At 44.5% G+C, this 18052-nt stretch overlaps 1 protein-coding gene across 3 annotated transcripts in view; it reads right to left on the minus strand.

The window, feature by feature from the left end:
- ASTN2 (astrotactin 2) overlaps positions 1–18052 on the minus strand; it is a 991946-nt gene that overhangs the window by 297296 nt on the left and 676598 nt on the right. For all 3 annotated transcript variants that reach the window (NM_014010.5, NM_001365069.1, NM_001365068.1), the window contains 3 exons: positions 12992–13116; positions 8585–8689; positions 5364–5543 (listed from right to left, as the gene is read on the minus strand). In NM_014010.5, coding sequence (NP_054729.3) covers positions 5364–5543; positions 8585–8689; positions 12992–13116 — 410 coding nt within the window. The remainder of the gene's footprint in view (positions 1–5363; positions 5544–8584; positions 8690–12991; positions 13117–18052) is intronic.

An 18052-nucleotide genomic window follows, 5' to 3' on the forward strand; every position in this document is an offset into this window, starting at 1 on the left:
TCACCTAGGCAGTACACTTGGAAAAGACATGTTAATTGCATAGCATTCTTTCACTTCTAGCCTCTCTTTATCTCGCCATTTCTCTTTGTGGATTTTGGTGTGCCTTTGTCTATCTCTCTTTGTTTTTCTGTCTCCTCCTCCCCTCCCCTCTTTTCTCTCTCTCTCTCTCTCTGCCTTTCTTTTCCTCTCTTTCTTGCTCTAGCTCTCTGTCCCTCCCTCTCTCTCACACACACACACAGAATGAACAATTCTTTCACATACACACATCTGTCACCTTCCATAGTCAGTTTCTCTATAAAAAAGAAGCAATTAAAAATTCAAAAAACTTATTATATTTCTAATTCCTGCATCTATCACTATCCTCCCTAAGTAGAGAATGACAGGGGATGATAAAAGTTACAGATTCCTTTTGATATCTCCCCAGTCCAGTTCCACAGCTCTTTCCCTTCACTGGCTCCAAGCCTGTAGCTAAACTCACTGAGGCCCCTCCCAATCCCAGGACAATCTACCTCTGCCCTTGATCCTGGGTCACAACGATGACAAGGGATGAGAGCAAATTAGCAAGCCCCACCCCTGCCCACACACATGTGTGCCTTCACGCACATACATACACACAAACATACACACCTGGGAACACAGTAATCGAAGTGGATGTGGCAGCCTTGGGTGGAGGGCATGGGTTGGATCAAGATAATTAGGCCCTCAACTCAGAGCTGGATGGGTCCATCCATTGCTCTATTTTCTTATTCCATCTATACAATGACTTTGCATTTTGCATATGGAAAAACTGATCTTAAAGAATGAATCACTTTGCTCAAGATCACACATCTGGGAAGAGGTAGAGCTGGGATTTGAATTGAGATCCATCTGATTGTAAAACCTGTGCTTTATCTCCAAATGAGAAAGTCTTTATCCAAGGTAGCCACAGGAAGGGTGACTTTATACAGTGAACCCTCATCATGATATAAAGCTCATGTATCATGATCACAGCTAGGGAGAATGCGTGAATATCAAGTCAAAGGGTGAAATGGAGCCCCAGTGGGAAGAAGGTAGTTTTTTCAAAATACAGGGATATCAAGAGCACAGAAGCATGTAATGAAAGTATTATGCTAGAGGAAGAGACTCAGAAGTTCACACACTGCTTGGGGGAATGGCACGGGAGCAGAGGTGATGGCTAAAGAAACCTGACAGGCTAAACAGCTTCCATGCTAATCATGTCTGGAACCTAGAGCTTCCAGGGATGACTTTGGCTGCTCTAGTTGTTTCCTAAGGCCCAGTTCTTCCTGCATTAGATTCTACCTTATTGACCTGTTCGGTGTTCCAGTCCCCTACGGACTACTGGAAAGCTCAGAATTCCCACCTGGTGATATAAAACTCTGCCTTCCTGCCTGGAGATCTTACCAGTGGTTATTGGCATGCCCAGTGCCCCCTCTGGAATCAACATCAAAAACTAGGTCTGTTATTCTAGCTTTTATTTTTGCCCTATTACAGGGAAGAAAATACAGAGGATCTAGACCACTATACTTCCTTTCTGTGTCTAGAATAGACATTACCAACTGATCATCTCAATGATCCCAATAACTTACACACAGTGTTCTAGACAAGCCATTCCCTAGTTGATCAGAATTGGCACATGAAAGCTAGAGAGCATAATATGATAGTGACTGGGTATTCCAACCAGCCTGGAAATGTTGGCCTCCTCCCTCTTCCCAGCTGTCTACCAGTGGATTTTTAAAAGTCTGTAACAAAAATGATGAAATATTGGGATACTAAGGCATGCTGGTAATGAACAACGTAGGAACAGAGCCTATATCTTCTTTATTTGGTGCCACAACATCTGACGCACACACAAAAAAAAATACAGAGAAAAAGCAGTTGGGAAATGTTCAGACAATCAATGAATAACTATGACTTTATTTTCCCACACAATGTACCTTTAGAAACACTTAGGGGAATGAGAGTAAAGTAAACTCCTCATGGGAAATATTTTAATCAGGCACATTCACCCCATCTCCCTTGGCTTTCCAGTAATTTCCAGTGGTTTCCCCAGATCATAAAAGTGGCCAGGGTCCCATCATTATGAAACCTGGGAAGGCTAGGGCATTTGTTTCTAATATCCAGGGACACCAGAGCTAGGGTGAAGGAAGAACTGGGCTGAAGTTTGGATTCAAATACCATCTTCTTGGCCTTTTGCCTCTGTAAGTTAAGGTTTCCCTCCTGTAATGGGGGAAGTGAGTACCCTTGCCTCCTTTGCTTTCTGGGGTAGATGGGAAGATCACAGGAAGGCCATCTGGAAACTGTAGAGGGCTGTACAAATGCTCATGGTTGTTATCCATGCCCTATTTGGTCTATTTTCCCCAACCTACTCTACCGAGTTTGACCCTCCACTCCTCCCTTCACTAAGAGTTAAAATGACACTTACAGGATTGTCTTTATCTAGTGACATCTGTAATTCACAGATAAAAATGAGGGTAGAGGCTGGGCGCTGTGGCTTACGCCTGTAATCTCAGCACTTTGGGAGGCTGAGATGGGCGGATCATGAGGTCAGGAGATTGAGACTATCCTGGCTAACACAGTGAAACCCCATCTCTACTAAAAATAGAAAAAATTAGCCGGGCATGGTGGCGGGCGCCTGTAGTCCCAGCTACTCCGGGGACTGAGGCAGGAGAATGGCGTGAACCCGGAAAGCAGAGCTTTCAGTGAGCAGAGATCGTGCCACTGAGCTCCAGCCTGGGTGACAGACTGAGACTCCGTCTCAAAAAAAAAAAATGAGGGTTGACCTCACACATTAGCAAGGTATGGAGCTGGGACTAGAATCCTCAGCCAATGCCCACAATTTTTACTTTATTTCAAGCTACTGTTTTCTATGTACCTACTATGTACCAGACATTTTACCTACATCATCTCATTTTATTCTCCCAAAAGCCATGCAAGAGAATTACTATCCCTCATTTAACACATGAGGAAACTGAGACTTAGAAGTTCCTTTACCTGAGGTTACCTGCCAGGTGTGTAGAAAGAGGAGTAAAGACATGAAACACCCTCCATCCCACTTCAGCACTGCACTATCTCTCCTCCTCTCACAAGTTCTGCCCACCGAGTTATCAGCCTCCAAGCCCAGATTCATCCTGGCCTGGTTTCCAACGTTTAGCAGATGGCAGTGACACATAACTCATGGCCGGGGAGAAAAGGGGATACTAGCTATCTTTAAGTCCAAAGGCTTCTTTCAACTCTACAGATGCATATCCCCAGCTTCTCATCTCCCATTCCCTAGCATCACTCCCAAATATAAAAAATAAAACCGGAGTATTTGATCTACCATCTAGGTGGTCACAGCAGGTGAAGATGGAGGGGAAGAAACACACACAGAATGGTTAAGCTGACCTCAATGCATCCTCTGTCCTTTTCTTGGGAGCAAGTATGGACGATGGAAGCAAGAAAAGTGCCTTTGCAGACTAGAAGCCCAGGAAGGAAAACACCAAGTTTACCCCACAAGTTTGCGGCAAAGCCAGGTCTTGAGGGGGACCCCTCCAGCTGTTGTTTCAGCACTCTTTCTTCCCCTCTCCCATCTTACTTGTAACAGATTCCATGATCCACCATACAAGGAATGGGATTTTCTGGAATGAGAAAGTCAAGTCTAAAGTCTGAAGACAGCTAAGGATGGAGAAGGGGTGGGATTTAGAATCAGAGTAGTGTCCCAAGCCCCAAACGTGGTATGAAGCAAATTAGTTATGTAGCCACAGTGAGTGAAGGTTTTTATAAACATAACCTAATAGTATTACTTCAAAGTCCTGAAGCTTATTGCCCTGCTTAATGATGTGTCACATTATTTGTAGGGTAGCACAATGAGACTTCTATTGATTTAATGCACTTCCTTAAAGACTGTCATTGACACAGCCATAAAACGGAGCTATTCCCAGACAACTCAATTATATCCACTGTGCCCATAAACCACCCCGTGCCCCACACAGTTGCACACAGGAAGCAGAAAGGGCTGAGAGCACGACTGGGGATGCAAAGCCCCCAGGGACAAAAGGGAAGGGATCTAGAGATTGGGAAGCAGGTGGACTAGGGTTTTATCCAGTTGGGAATGTGCAGCTGCATAAAAAGCACTAGACAGGAGGTGTAGAGCACCCCACTTGGTCTTGGCCCTGCCAAGCAAAGCTGCGTGAAAGCTCCCTTCTTCTCCCCTATAGACTTAGTTTCCTCGACTGCAAAACTGGAGTGCTATGCTCAATGAGATCCTTCAGATCCCTCCTGGCTCCCACATTTTGTGGTTTTTTGTTATGATTGCTTTTGTTCTTGGAGATAGGGTGGCTGAGCTGTATGAAAAGATGCAAGCATGTTTTTAACATTGCTCTTCACCCTTTCCATCAATTGAGAGACTTTCTTTTACAAATAGTTGATAATAATAGTATTAACTATATCAAGAAGCATTTCAGTATAGTTGAAAGAGGGAAAGAACATGGGCTTTTGCAGCCAGCCAGCCTTGGGTTCCAATCCTGACCCTGCTACTTATTAGCTGTGTGTCTATGAGTACTTGATGTGGCATATCTGAGACTCATTTTCTCATGTGTAAAATGGGAGTATGAATACACTGACCTATTAAAACACATATATACACATGTGCGATATTCTAACTTCCTCAAAATGCTATTACATAAACCACTTATCTTTAATGTGAGAAGCAGACAAGAATAGCTACTTACGTACCCATTTCACAGGAAGAGAAAATTGAGGTGGAAAAGGAATAACCTTCACAAGGTGAGTGGGCAGAGACTGGTCTCCAGCACCTGGTCTGAGGAATTCCAATTCTGATAATAGCTGAGAGTCAGAGGAAAATGAAATCTGCTGGCCCTTCCTGAGGATAAAAGCCTCACCACAGGACAGAATGGAAACCGTCTGCTTGGTTATGAGGTGATTGTTTTTCCAAAGGAATTGAGTTCTTCTTGGGAGAGAAGAACCCAAGATCTTCTTGGGTTCTCCCAAGAAGCCTGGAGAGAAGAAAGTGTCAAGAAGACACCACTTGCTGACCCCCAACCTGATCTCTGGCAGTTGTTTCAAAGAGAGGATGTGGGAAGCAAAGTACCTGCAAGAGAAGGCAAGGGTTCTGGAGTCTAGAACACTAACTTGAGGCCTCAGAAAATGCCTGACTTGAGAGAATCCTGCAAAATCATTATACGATCCCTCACTCTGCCCATGGTGAAACTGAAGCTCAGAGAGAGGCAGGGACTTGCCCATGGTCACACAGCTTAGACGTGGCAGAGCCAGGATTTAGATCCAAGGCAGCTCAGTTGTCTCCCCAGACCCCTTGCCTCTATAGCCTGCCTGGCCACCTCCTACAGTAGGCACTCCGGGCTTACCTTTCTGATACTGGAGCCACAGCTGCTGCTGGACCTTCTTGCTGGGAAAGTGGATGATGCAGGTGAGCTCTGAGCCATAGAGGGCCTCTGCGATGTAGTGGGAGCCATAGTGCTGGATGAAGGACAGCAGCTCCTCCCGACTGCTCTCCTTGGTCAGGATCTTGAGAACATTAGTGAAGCCTGGACAAGAGAGGAGCATGTGGAGGTGGTCAGATGTGAGAGGCTGGCGGCTAGCAAATTATACGGTGGCAGGAGTTCTTCCCAACCTGTATTTTGTGCCTTACCCCTCAGCACAGTGGCAGCTTGGTGGCTGCACTAGTCCAAACATATACATAATTCCCTCACTTAAATAGCAATGAATGCCCTCTCTGAGGGGTACATCAGACACGGTGACCAAGAGGGAATCTGCAGGAGAAGAAGGCCTAAACTCAGCAACGTAGACCATGGGAACTTAAAAAAGATAAATCAAGAAGTCAAAGCTGATATCCACTCACTGAGCAACCAATGTGTACTGGGAAAACTGTTAGATGTTTCACCCTCTTTATGTAACTTAACCTTAGCCACAATCATATATAATTTGACAACAACAACACCCATTGTATAATGAGCAAGTCAAAGCTGAGAGACTAAAATTGAGTTATCTTGAACTTCCAGGTAGAGAAAGAAGCTGGACTCAAACCCACTTATGTTCTCACTGCACACTGCATGCATTTTCCACCACACCAAACAAACCAGGGCTTGAACTGCCCATGGCTGGAATCCTAAGGCTGCATTTGCCCAGAGTCAGCATGTATTCTGAGTCCATGAATCTGATTCCTGGTTTAGCTTCCTGTAGCATTGCTTTTCTTTATATCTCTGCTGTTCCCTCTCTTTAACAGTGGTATGTTCTCTCTCCCTAGATTTCCACAGAGCCTTCTTGCTGCTCTATTTCTTAGTCCTAGGCTAAGTCCTCAGCACTTAACATGGGGCCTGCACAGCAGTCACTCAGTAAAAACTGCTCCCTCTTTCTCTCCTTCCTCAAACAGGCACATGAGCAAGCTATTCTTCCAGGGACATTCCTGAGCTCCTCCCTGCTACTGGACAAAGCCTAGTGACCTTCTTTAGAAATTCAAGGTTCCAAGCTCATCTCTAATGAGCCACCCACACTAAGTTTTAGCTCCAGCCAAATTAGTTTTATTATTTATCCTGAATGTGACCTGAAATTTCTATCATTCTATCTTTCCTTGCATTCTCACTACACTCAACACACACACACACACACACACACACACACACACACACACACCTGAAATGGCCTCCCTATGTCCTCCCTAAGTCACACCTATGCTTCAAGGCCCCTGGAAGTCACCTCTTCTCCAAGAAGCCTTTCACATCATTATGGACAGGAGTGCCTACTGTCTGCACTTTCAACATGCACCACCTTAAAGTCGGAAGCTCTACCTTATTTGTCTCTATATCCGCACATGCATCCTCCCTGCACACCCACCCCAACTGGGTACATGGCCCAGTTCCTGGGACACAGCAAACACACCAACCACAATTATTACAAGAACAGCCAACACTGTGCCACATCAAAGTAAAATGTAAAAGAACAAGCTTCTCTCCAGCATTAAAAGTGAGCTCCAATTTGCCAACATTTGATTGACAAAAGGGTTTTCCGGGAGCATCATTATTGATTAATTAAAGCAGATGCACCTTTGTACTTCTAACAGGAACATCATAGTCTTATTCACAAATGCAGTGTGGGGTGTGGGGGGCAGAAAACAAAAATAGGGGGCTCAAAGAATGGGTGTTTGATGAGAACAACCCCTCTCCATCAACCTGTTAAGTAATACAACTGGGTAATTAATACAGTAGTGTTAATAACGAGATGGTTTCTGTTAAGTAATAAAAAACAATACCACAGAGATGCCCTGAGGGTCTTATCCAGGCAGACAAAACTGCAATCAAATCCTTGATTCATTCATTCCCTGCTCTGCCACTTACTAGCTGTGTGACCTTGGGCAAGTTATTTAACCTCCCTAACCCTCAGTATACTTATCTGAAGAAAAATGGGATAAATAATGTCTTCCTCACAGTACTGTTCTGTCATAAGAAATGAACTATTATAAAATGCTTAACAGATGTCAGCAATAATTACTATTTCTACTTCCCAGAGGGTGAAATCCTCCAATTCCCAGGCTGTAAGAGCTTCATTTTGCTGATGAACAAAGAAAAGAGAACAAAAGACCTCATAGATAATTAGAGGACACTCAGACAATAAACCAGTGAAAGTGTTATTAGTAAGAGTTAGGGTAGAATATCCTAGGTCAGGCCTCATCTTTCCAGATTCCTTCATTCATTCCTTATTTTTCAGTCTTCATTTATTTTTAAAAATTCCTCCATCATACATGAGCACCAACAACGTGCTAATCTTTGTTAGTTTTGGAGATACTGGAATAAATAAGACCCAAGCCCCGCCCACAGTTCTCAGGTCATAGACAAGATTCCAATATAAATCAAGGACTTGTTAATGTCTTGATATAGATATTTAAGCACCGAGAATTCCGTGAGTTGTTTTGAGGGGAATGGAGAACGGGGGAGGCATCACAGAGTAATATAGTATATGTTCCCAAGACAAAGAGGTCCAGGCAGAGGGAACGGTATGGGCAAAGTCACTGTGGCATGAGAGAACATGCACCATTTTGGGCACTATAAATTGTTGCCATCTGTTGGAGCTTAAAGTTCATGTGGATATAATGTGGGTGGTGCATGTAAAGGGATGGGGGTGTGGGGGTTATATAAGATTTTTGTATCGGAGATGGACAGGAAAATAAATTAGCCAGGAGAGAAAGAGAAATTGGTGTCTGAGGAGAATTTATAATTCACAAGCTTGAAATACTTCAAAAACATAAATATGACTTAGATACTGTTTATCCCTACTCTCCTATTCATCCCTCCACACCCTACTCAGATACCTTTTCCTCCAGGAAGCCTCTCTAGCTCCCCCAGAATGATTAGCTCCATCTTCTGTGCCACCGCTTCCCCATTATTGCATCGACCCTACTGTCTGTCAGACTCCTGTCCACCCACCCTCCCTAGGACTCCTTGATGGCAGAGAGGATGCATCCTCATTTCCTCAGCATCCCCAGTGCTCTCATATGCCCTGGCACATGCTAGGTCCTTGGCAACAAGTGCTAAATTATTCCAAGTCCCCTGGCTGCCCAGGCAGTGGTCCTCACCTGCTGCGAGGGTGATGGTGCTGAGCTTCACACGGTAGAGGTTGCTCCGGACCCGCCACTGCTGCACCATGGGGTAACCCATGGCCTCATCATACCTGATATCTCCTGGGAGAGAAAATAAGATGGTCACGTGAGCCCAGAATTAAGACGCTTCACACCACATTGTTCACCCTGCAGCTCTTGGCTCTGGGAAACAGACACCTCTTTGAAGTACAACTTTCACTGGGATTGACAATTTTATGAACCCCACCCTCCAGGCCTCTTTCTGGTCTCTAATCTCAGCCCTACCCCTCATTTTTCTCTCTGCTCTATAGCTTGCAAGTCCCCTTTACCCTACAAGCAAGAGCAACCTCAGGTCAGATCTATGTCTTACCTAACCCCATTTGCAATTTGCCACCAGGCACTAGACATCCCAGTGCTTCAGTTTCCACATCTGACACTGTAGCTCTCTCTAATACTCTTATTTCGTAGGCATGTTGTGAGGCTCAAGTAAGGTACCAGAAGTGGGAGCCCTCTGGTAACCTAGAAATGTTGTGCATGTAGACCACATGTAAGTAAACTACAGCCTATTTGTTATGTATTTTCTGTAGCTGCTTTCACACTATGACAGCAGAGTTGAGCAGTTGCAATACAAACCACCTGCAAAGGCTAATGCATTTATTAACTTTCCCTTCATGTTTGCTGACCCCTATGTAGACTATCATTTCTTAACATGGAAACATGGATGTTCATAAGTATTATGTAAAATATACGTATACAGAAATAAACTCTTTCTATTTCAAGTAAGACTGAGAAGCACAGGCAAAACAAAGTTTAACTGTATAATTTCTCAGCATCTTGATTATATTAATATGCATGAAAGTAGTGTGCAAACTTCTTTGACCATAAAACCCCTTTTGTATGAAAGGTCCTTTGGAATTCATGTTTTATAGAATAAATTTCAGGAAACACTGGTGTAAACAAGAAATAAAAACAGAAAAGACACAACGAAGTGTTAGCAAATGATTAACTTTGGGCGGTGGTAAATGAAAAATTCTTGTTTTCTGACTTATATTCACATCTATTTTCTAAATTTTCTACCCTAAGCTTTGCAAACTCTCTTTTTTATAAGCTGAACAAAAATACATTAAAAAGATGCTAGTCACATCAGCAGTTATTATTACTGTTTTTATGTATCCACACTTTCTTGTGCCTCTGCAAATGGCAGGCACATTTTCTATCCTTTTCTCTTGTCCCCTGGTGAGTAGGCACTTAAAGAGATATTTGATACCAAGATTAAAATGAGAATCTCATTGGAACAAATGATTTCTTCCTGGACATTACTGCAGTATTAAAGTTGTCCATTACTGTCAACTTTTTTTTTTTCCTCCTTATGCTCCTTAGCCTTTTCAGGAATAAAATAGTTTTTTAGAGGCTTTCATTTTAAAGTAAAATATTCATGATCCCCAAAGATATGTCCACTGGAGTGAGGTTGTTTGTTATAAATACATCCTCTTTGTTTATCTGCTCTGCCTCTCCTGGCCTTCCTTTGCAGAGGCTAGGGAGAAAAGGAGATTGTGTGGAGGGAGGAAGGGAGGGCTATGTTTTTGACTAAGGGCAGAGAAAATGTCTGCACAAGAAGATTCAGACACCAGGGACAAGGCAGTCTCTGCTCCTTCCATTACTGCTCATTCATGTTCAAAGCAGACTTGCTGGGGGCATTGGCAGCCAAGGCCTATCTCCAACAGAAGAGGCAGAATGATGCAGGCTGTTGAGAGGCAGCTCTTTCACTTGGTGGCATGATGTCCAAACATAAAAACAAAACAAATTTAAAAACTCCTTCTGATTATCAAGTAATTTGTAAAACCATCTTCTCACTCCATCCCTCACTTCCTTCCATCTCTGCTCATTCCTGGATTCATGCCTGAAATAAAAGCTTCTCCAATGGAATGGATGTCAGCTTTTTGAGGTCAAGGTCACGGTCTATATTCCTCCCCTTCTACAGAGCCTAGAAGAGAGCCTGGCTTATAGTAGCCTCTCAATAAATGCCTATCCACTGGCGGCCTAACTCTCACTCTGTTCCTAACCATAAACTCATCCCTGGGTTACTCTATCGCTGACTCTCATCTTGCCCTCCCCATCTCAGCTCCCCACCTGGGGATTATGGTTGGAATGAAGCTATGTGATGGAGGGAGGAATTTTTCCTGGTAATAATAATAATAATAATAATAATAATAATAATAATAATAATAATAAATCTTTTGAAATGCAACAGTTCCCTTTATTAGGAAATCTCCAAGGATCCTTGAGTCAAAACAAAGAATCATAACAATTTGAACCACTAATGGATACCCATAGTGTGCCAAGCATTTTATATACATGATCTTTATTTCTCATTAGAATCCTAAAAAAAAATTATCATACCCTATTTTTTTGTTATTGTGTTTTGTTTTGTTTTGTTTTGTTTTTGAGACAGAGTTTCACTCCTGTTGCCCATGCTGGAGTGCAGTGGCAAGATCTCGGCTCACTGCAACCTCCACCTCCTGGGTTCAAGTGATTCTCCTGCCTCGGCCTCTTGAGTAGTTGGAATTACAGGCACCCACCACCACCCCTGGCTAATTTTTTGTATCTTTAGTAGAGACGGGGTTTCATCATGTTGGCTAGGCTGGTCTCAAACTCCTGACCTCAGGTGATCAACCTGCCTCGGACTCCCAAAGTGTGGGGATTACAGGCATGAGCCACTGCGCCCGGCCCATACCCTATATTTTAGAGGAAGAAACTGAGGCTCAGAGAGCAAAACTGTCCAAGGACATACCAGGATCAATGACAGGTTCAGGGGCCTTTCCATTAAAGCACAGCACCTCCTCACAGACCGTGGACATGTCTGCTTTAGGAGGTAGTAAACTCCCCATCACTGGGGGTATCCAAAGAGGGATAACCACTCAGGAAGGATATTATAGACTTGATTCCTCATTAGGAGGGAAGATTAGACTAGACACCTTTTGCAGTCCATGTTAGCTCCGAAATTTTATGATCTTAAAAAAAATGAAAATTAAGGAAGGCATAGAAATTTTTGTAACATTTTACAAGGTGTCTTTTACATCCATCATTTCATTTGATCTACATCTGGGTCCCTCTTTGAAATAGCACAGGTCAGGGGTGATGTAAGATAGTGGATATGCCATCAGCTTTGGAGTCAAGACCGACTTTGTTTAAATCTTGACATGACTATAGACTAGCCACGTGGCCTTGGATTAGTTCATGTCCTTGCTAACAAGTTTAAAGGGGACAATAATGGCCTTGCAGGGTTACATGGTTTAACACACAAAAAGTGCCTGGCCCCCAGGACCCCTTAAGCACATGTGGGTTCTCTCCTCCATCTATGCTCTTTTACAGGAAAGGCTCACGGGAGTTAGATGACTCTTTTGAGGTTTCCCAGAGCTTGCAAGTGATGGGGAAGTCAGACAGAGATTTCAACCTAGGTCTGTGAGATTGTGGGGTCTTCCCTGGGGAACAATTCCCCTCTCAGTGAAAGAGCTCTATTATCCTTCCCCATGACGATTCCCCCGTGACTATTCTCCCTGGGCAGTGGATAAGGCACACAACCACAGTATCACAAAGGCAGAGTCGAGAACCTCACATCTTAGGAAATTTCTTAAGAAAAGGGTAGGAGAGGAACTGGGAGCAAAAAAAGAGGAAAGAGCATCCTGGGGTTGGACAGAAAATATGGAGTCTCAGGAAAGCCTGCAAAAGGCAACTTCCCAGTGGAGAGAGAAAGTGGTTGCAGGGGTGGGGGAGCGGCAAAGTGGAGTAGAAAGGGCAAAAGACTTGGTGCTACAGCACCCAGGTTTTAGTCCTGGCAGATATGCTGTGTAACTTTGGACTGGTCCCTTCTACCTCTCTAAGTATAGCTTCCTAATCTATCAAATGGTAAAAATAATACCCACCCCACAGATGGCACAGTGCCCACGTACAAAAACGAGCTGTGTAACTCGAGTGCTTTCAAGTAGGAGGGGCTCCTGATTGGAGAGTCCACTTCTTTTACTTTGGAATGACTTAAAACGAACCAAGAAAACAAAATACTAACAGTGGAAAAATACCAGAAAATTGTCAATGAGAATGAAAAGTGTTTTGAGACTCATTCACAGAGGCAAAACTCTCACTGAGAAAAATCGTTCCTGTTCTCACAGAGGAACCTCCTCTCAAAGATGACTGCAGTCCCAAGTCTGAGGTCTCAGGGAAGTCCCTGGTTCTGCTCAGCCAATAGCAGGAGCCCAAGAAAGGGTAAGTTCCTTCCCATACCCTTCCTCATGAAGGAGGAGGCTTGACAGAGCCCATCTTGGATCTGCTGAAGACTGATATGCACTAGGTGTGGAGACTCGGTGTGTGGTCAGGGAACCTGGGAAGGGTCTGGCACATGTGTCTTACCAGTGAGCAGTTGGAGGTCTGGAAGGGGCTCGGAGAGGACCCCCCGGCACTGCTCCTCCACCGGCAGCGGGATCACCAACAGCCCATCGGCCAGCTGGGGAAAGTCCTTGATGAAGTTGTTCTCCCTGTGGAGAGGAGCAGAGAGACTGCCAAATCGAGGAAGTGGAGACTGCTGAGGACTACAGGGCAAGGAGGCAGGATGCTGTAGTCAGAATAAAGACTCATGGTGGGGTGACTTTGCTGTAATGCCTCTGGTTTCCTGAATCCCAGCTCTGAGAACATGGTGCTAACTACAGGTTCCTGAATCAGGCAGGCTGGGGTTCAAATTTAGCCCCACTGCTTACTTGGCTGTATGATCTCAAGCATGCTACTGTTCCTCTCAGAACCTCAGTTTCCTTGTCTATAAAGTGAGACTCAGATCTAAGGGCTGTTGTAAGCACTTAATGGGAAAAACCTACCAATTATTTAAGATACTTTCTGATGCTCTATAAACTGTATGTGGCCGCTAAATGTCCCCTGGCATAAGCAGTGGCAATGTTGAACCAGGATGTGAGAACTGAGAATAGTGCGTAGTGTTTGCAGAACAAGGGGCAAGACTAGGCTGAAAAAAAGAAAAACAAACAAACAAACCTTGGAAAAAATAGATGTTTGTTAAATGGAAGGGCCCTAAGAGACTTTTTTTTTTGGCTCAAACTTTTCCTTTTACAGATGGGGAAACTGAGGCCTGGAGAAAGGGAATGACTTGCTGAATCACAACCTGATAGGTTAGACTCAAACCCATGTCTTCTGACTCCAGGTTAGTGCTCTTTCCCTTGCTCTAACTTCTTTAGGTGCCTCTAACCCTTTCCTGCAGGCCAGTCCCAGGGAACAGAAGACAGACCTCTGAATGACCCCAGAAAACTGAACTGTGAACAAAGTTCTGAGAGGATGGTAGTAACAGTGCAGCAGAGGGAGGCAGGTTTCATTCTTCTAGACAATAGACCTGCCTAAAAATTAACAGCCTGCCAAGAGAGGTGGTGAGCTTCCTGTTACTGAGGGTGTGCAAGCAGAAAACTTGGCAGCCAGTTGGCACGGATGGTATCGAGGTCTTTTCCAAATTAAATATGACTTATGAGGTCCCTTTATATTCAGAAATTCCCAGCATTAAAGACATGAATTATAGTCTGGAGAGGAGGAGGAGAGAAGAGAAGGGGGAGGAGAAGAACAAAAGGAGGAAGATGTTTATTACTTCATTTTGACACATGGAATGGTCAACCTTGAAATGAAAATCAGAAGCACGAAAACAAAAATATGTGATGCCAAAGCAATGCCTTTGAAGCCTGTATCTCAGACAGTTCAAAAGCAGCTGTAAAAGTGTTGAGTGGCTTGGGTCACCTTCCTGTCTGCTCAACATCTCTGCACCCCACTCCAGGCACCTTTGAAGCTCATCATCAATTCATCCATTTAATGAACACTTTCTTCATTTCTGAGTCCAGAGGATGTGACATTATCACCATCTTCTATACCACCAGCATCACCATCATTATCATCATTGTCTTTGTCATCTATATTATTCATTGAATCTTTATAATTTGCTAGGATCTAGCTAAATACTTTACATACATTTTATCACTTAATCTTCACAGCAATCCCAAAAGATAGATATTATTATCTTTAAGTTGCAGACAAGTAGCATGAGATTTGGTGTTAACAGGTGGTGGAGCTGGGATACGAACCCAGGTCTGGTTGGGCCTAAGACTGTCTGCCCAGGCATGCACGTGCATGATGGTGAGTTTTAAGGCCCACACTTGCCATTTAAACATGCTGCTGTGTGTGGGTGTGCCATGGCTGTCTGTGGAGTCATCCTTGTTTATGTCTGTGTGTGCCTGTGATAATGGGTTCTACCTAGATGGTTGGTCTTTGTCTACAAATCTGGGAGTGTGGAACAGCAATATGAATTTAAAAAGACAGGCTTCTGGTAGATGGAAGTACCACCACATAGCATATAACCCTAGCCAGGACTAAATGTCCTCATGCTTCCCTTGTGAGGTGGCCTCTGGTGATAGATTTTTCCCTGAAAGATGTAGCAGGATGGAGGGGTAGTCCATGCCCTAGTCATTCAACCAGCATGCACTGAGCACATACTTGGGTGGAATCCTGTGCTGGGTGGTGCTAAGAACACAGAGACAGATTGATGTTTCCCCTTGTCCTCTAGATCTTCTCAGCCTAGTGGGGAAAACACAAAAAATGGCCATGCAGAATAATCAGTGGGGGCTGCTATCAGGAATTCTGCATGTGCTGGGTGCTGCTGCACAAGGTCTCTTCCCTACAAGATCCCCAGCACTTGTTTTCACTCTGGGCAGGAGAGGCTAAGGGTGAGGAGGTAGCTCAGCCTTGGAAGCTGAGAAGAGCCTATGAGGACTGGGCTCCAGTTCTGCCCACACTGCATCCTAGCTGTGTAACCTGGAGCAAACCAACCAAATCTCAAGGTTCTGTTCTGTAAAATGGGGATCATAACAGCTATTCAGCTGGCCTTAGTGGAATGGCTACAATAACAATAGCCTTTTATTGAGCACCTACTATGCACCAGACACAATTGGCAGTACTTATTCTTCACCCAACTCTGTGAAGTAGGTGTCATTTACATTCCCCATTCAGACATTGAAAAGCTGAAGCACAAAGAAGTTATGTAACTACCTAAAGCCACAAGGCTGGGAAGTGGGAGATCCCAGGTGGTTTGGCCCCAGATCAAAATTGAGTAATATATTGCTTTCAACCATGAGTTAAGTTTTAAAGTTGATTCAATCTGATATTTAAATTTTCCAGAATTCTATGAGGTTTAAAAGCAAACTAAATGCTTAAGTATATTTTATACTTTATTATGTACTAAAAAATGACCAGATTGTGGTGTTATTTCTCAGCTTGCCTTTCCCTAAGCATTCACTCAGAAAGTTGAATATAGAAGGGTTAATATTTATTGTATGCCTGGCATAGAGTCTTTGTTTGTCTAACAGGTCATGGTAGATGTCTTCAAAAGACATCCTAGCACTCCTCATCACTGCTTGGGTAGAGGGTGCTAAAGGACCTGCCTGTGACACACACAGACTGTCAGTGTTGGAAGGGCCATAGTGCCTGGGCGTGTGCTGAGCCCAGACAGGATGCAGCCAAGAGGAGGACCTTGCTGCTCCTACAAGAGAGGAGAGAGTTAGCTATTCACCACATGCCCCAGGCTCTGTTCTCTATGTGACCTCTTCAAGCCTCACGCAAATGCCACAAAATAGGCATATATTCCCAGTTTAACCGACAAGGAAATGGATTTTCCATGGACTTACATAATGGATGCATTTGGGAAATGAAATCTGAAGGCAAATCTATCATTTTTCACTTTACCACCCAAGAGTGTCCATTTCAAATCTCTAGAAATGTTCTTACAATTGTAGAGAAGGGAAGGTAATGCCACCTTCTCTATCCGCATGTCCCTCTCTTCCAATCCTTCTGCCTTCTTATCAAGTCACTCTTAGCTCTGCAAGGAAATCTGACCCCAACGGGACAATGCAAGGAAGTAGAGTGTGCAAACTCAGGAGGCAGGGGCCTGGCTCAGGACACCCCTTCTCGGAGGAAGGTTTTCCTTCCTGAGCTTCCAGAAAGTAGAGGGGGGACTTGGAGAAATGCAGAAAGACAGAGAAGATGGAAGGGTGACAGTTAGCCAGCCAATATGGAAGACTGGGAAGAAGGGTGGCAGGTAGGCGGAGATGAAGCCCGAATGAACAGCCCAGCGACGGCATGGTCTCTCGGGTACTGGGTCCCTTTGCGACCGCCTGGGCGATGGCCACAAGTCCTGCAAGGCCTCTGCCAGCAGAGGGCGCCCGGGGCCTTTGCATCGATCAGCTGTTTCGGGAGGCAAAACATGGATGAGAGAGTAGCTGCTGGGAAAGTTCCGCTGGGCTGAGAACCTCAGATGGAAGCCTAGACAACAGCTGCAGAACCCACCCACCTGGGAGAGGCGACCAGGGAGCTGGCAGGGTGCTGGCTTAAACTCGGGTGCTCAGGAATAATTCAGATTCTTAGCGCTCGTGTGTGTGTGTGTGAATGTGTGTGTGTGTGTGTGTGTGTGTGTGTAGTAAAAACTACCACACAACTAATTCGTATAATAGGAAGACAGAAATAATGGACAATATTTATTTATTGATTATATCTGTTGCTCATCAGTTATGCTGTAGCTCATGTGCCAACGTGTGTGTGTGTGTGTGTGTGTGTGTGTGTGTGTGTGTAGTAAAAGCTGCTAGGTAACTAACCCTAGCAATAATGATAATATTTACAGAGATTTATTGATTGCATTTGTTGACCATCTCCTATACTCAAGGTAGTGTGTCAAGATATAGTAGCGTACAGGAATGGAAAACCAAAGGTTGTATGTTCTCACTTATAACTGTGAACTAAGCTATAAGGATACAAAGGCATAAGAGTGATATAATGAGTTTTGAGGACTTGGCGGGGGAAGGTTGGAAGAGGAGTGATAAAAGACTACATATTGGCCGGGCGCGGTGGCTCACGCCTGTAATCCCAGCACTTTGGGAGGCCGAGGCGGGCGGATCACGAGGTCAGGAGATCGAGACCATCCTGGCTAACACGGTGAAACCCCGTCTCTACTAAAAATACAAAAAATTAGCCGGGCGTGGTAGCGGGCGCCTGTAGTCCCAGCTACTCGGGAGGCTGAGGCAGGAGAATGGCGTGAACCCGGGAGGCGGAGCTTGCAGTGAGCCGAGATCGCGCCACTGCACTCCAGCCTGGGCGACAGAGCGAGACTCCGTCTCAAAAAAAAAAAAAAGACTACATATTGGGGCCAGGAGCAGCGGCTCATGCCTATAATCCCAGCACTTTGGGAGGCTGAGGCAGAAAGATCCCCTGAGGTCAGGAGTTCAAGACCAACTTGGCCAACATGGTGAAACCCCATCTCTACTAAAAATACACAAATTAGCTGGGCATGGTGGCACCCACCTGTAATCCCAGCTACTCGGGAGGCTGAGGCATGAGAATCATTTGAACTCGGGAGGCGGAGGTTGCAGTGAGCTGAGATTGCGC

The sequence above is a fragment of the Homo sapiens genome, chromosome 9, assembly GCF_000001405.40.
Source record: "Homo sapiens chromosome 9, GRCh38.p14 Primary Assembly".
Lineage (NCBI taxonomy): Eukaryota > Metazoa > Chordata > Mammalia > Primates > Hominidae > Homo > Homo sapiens.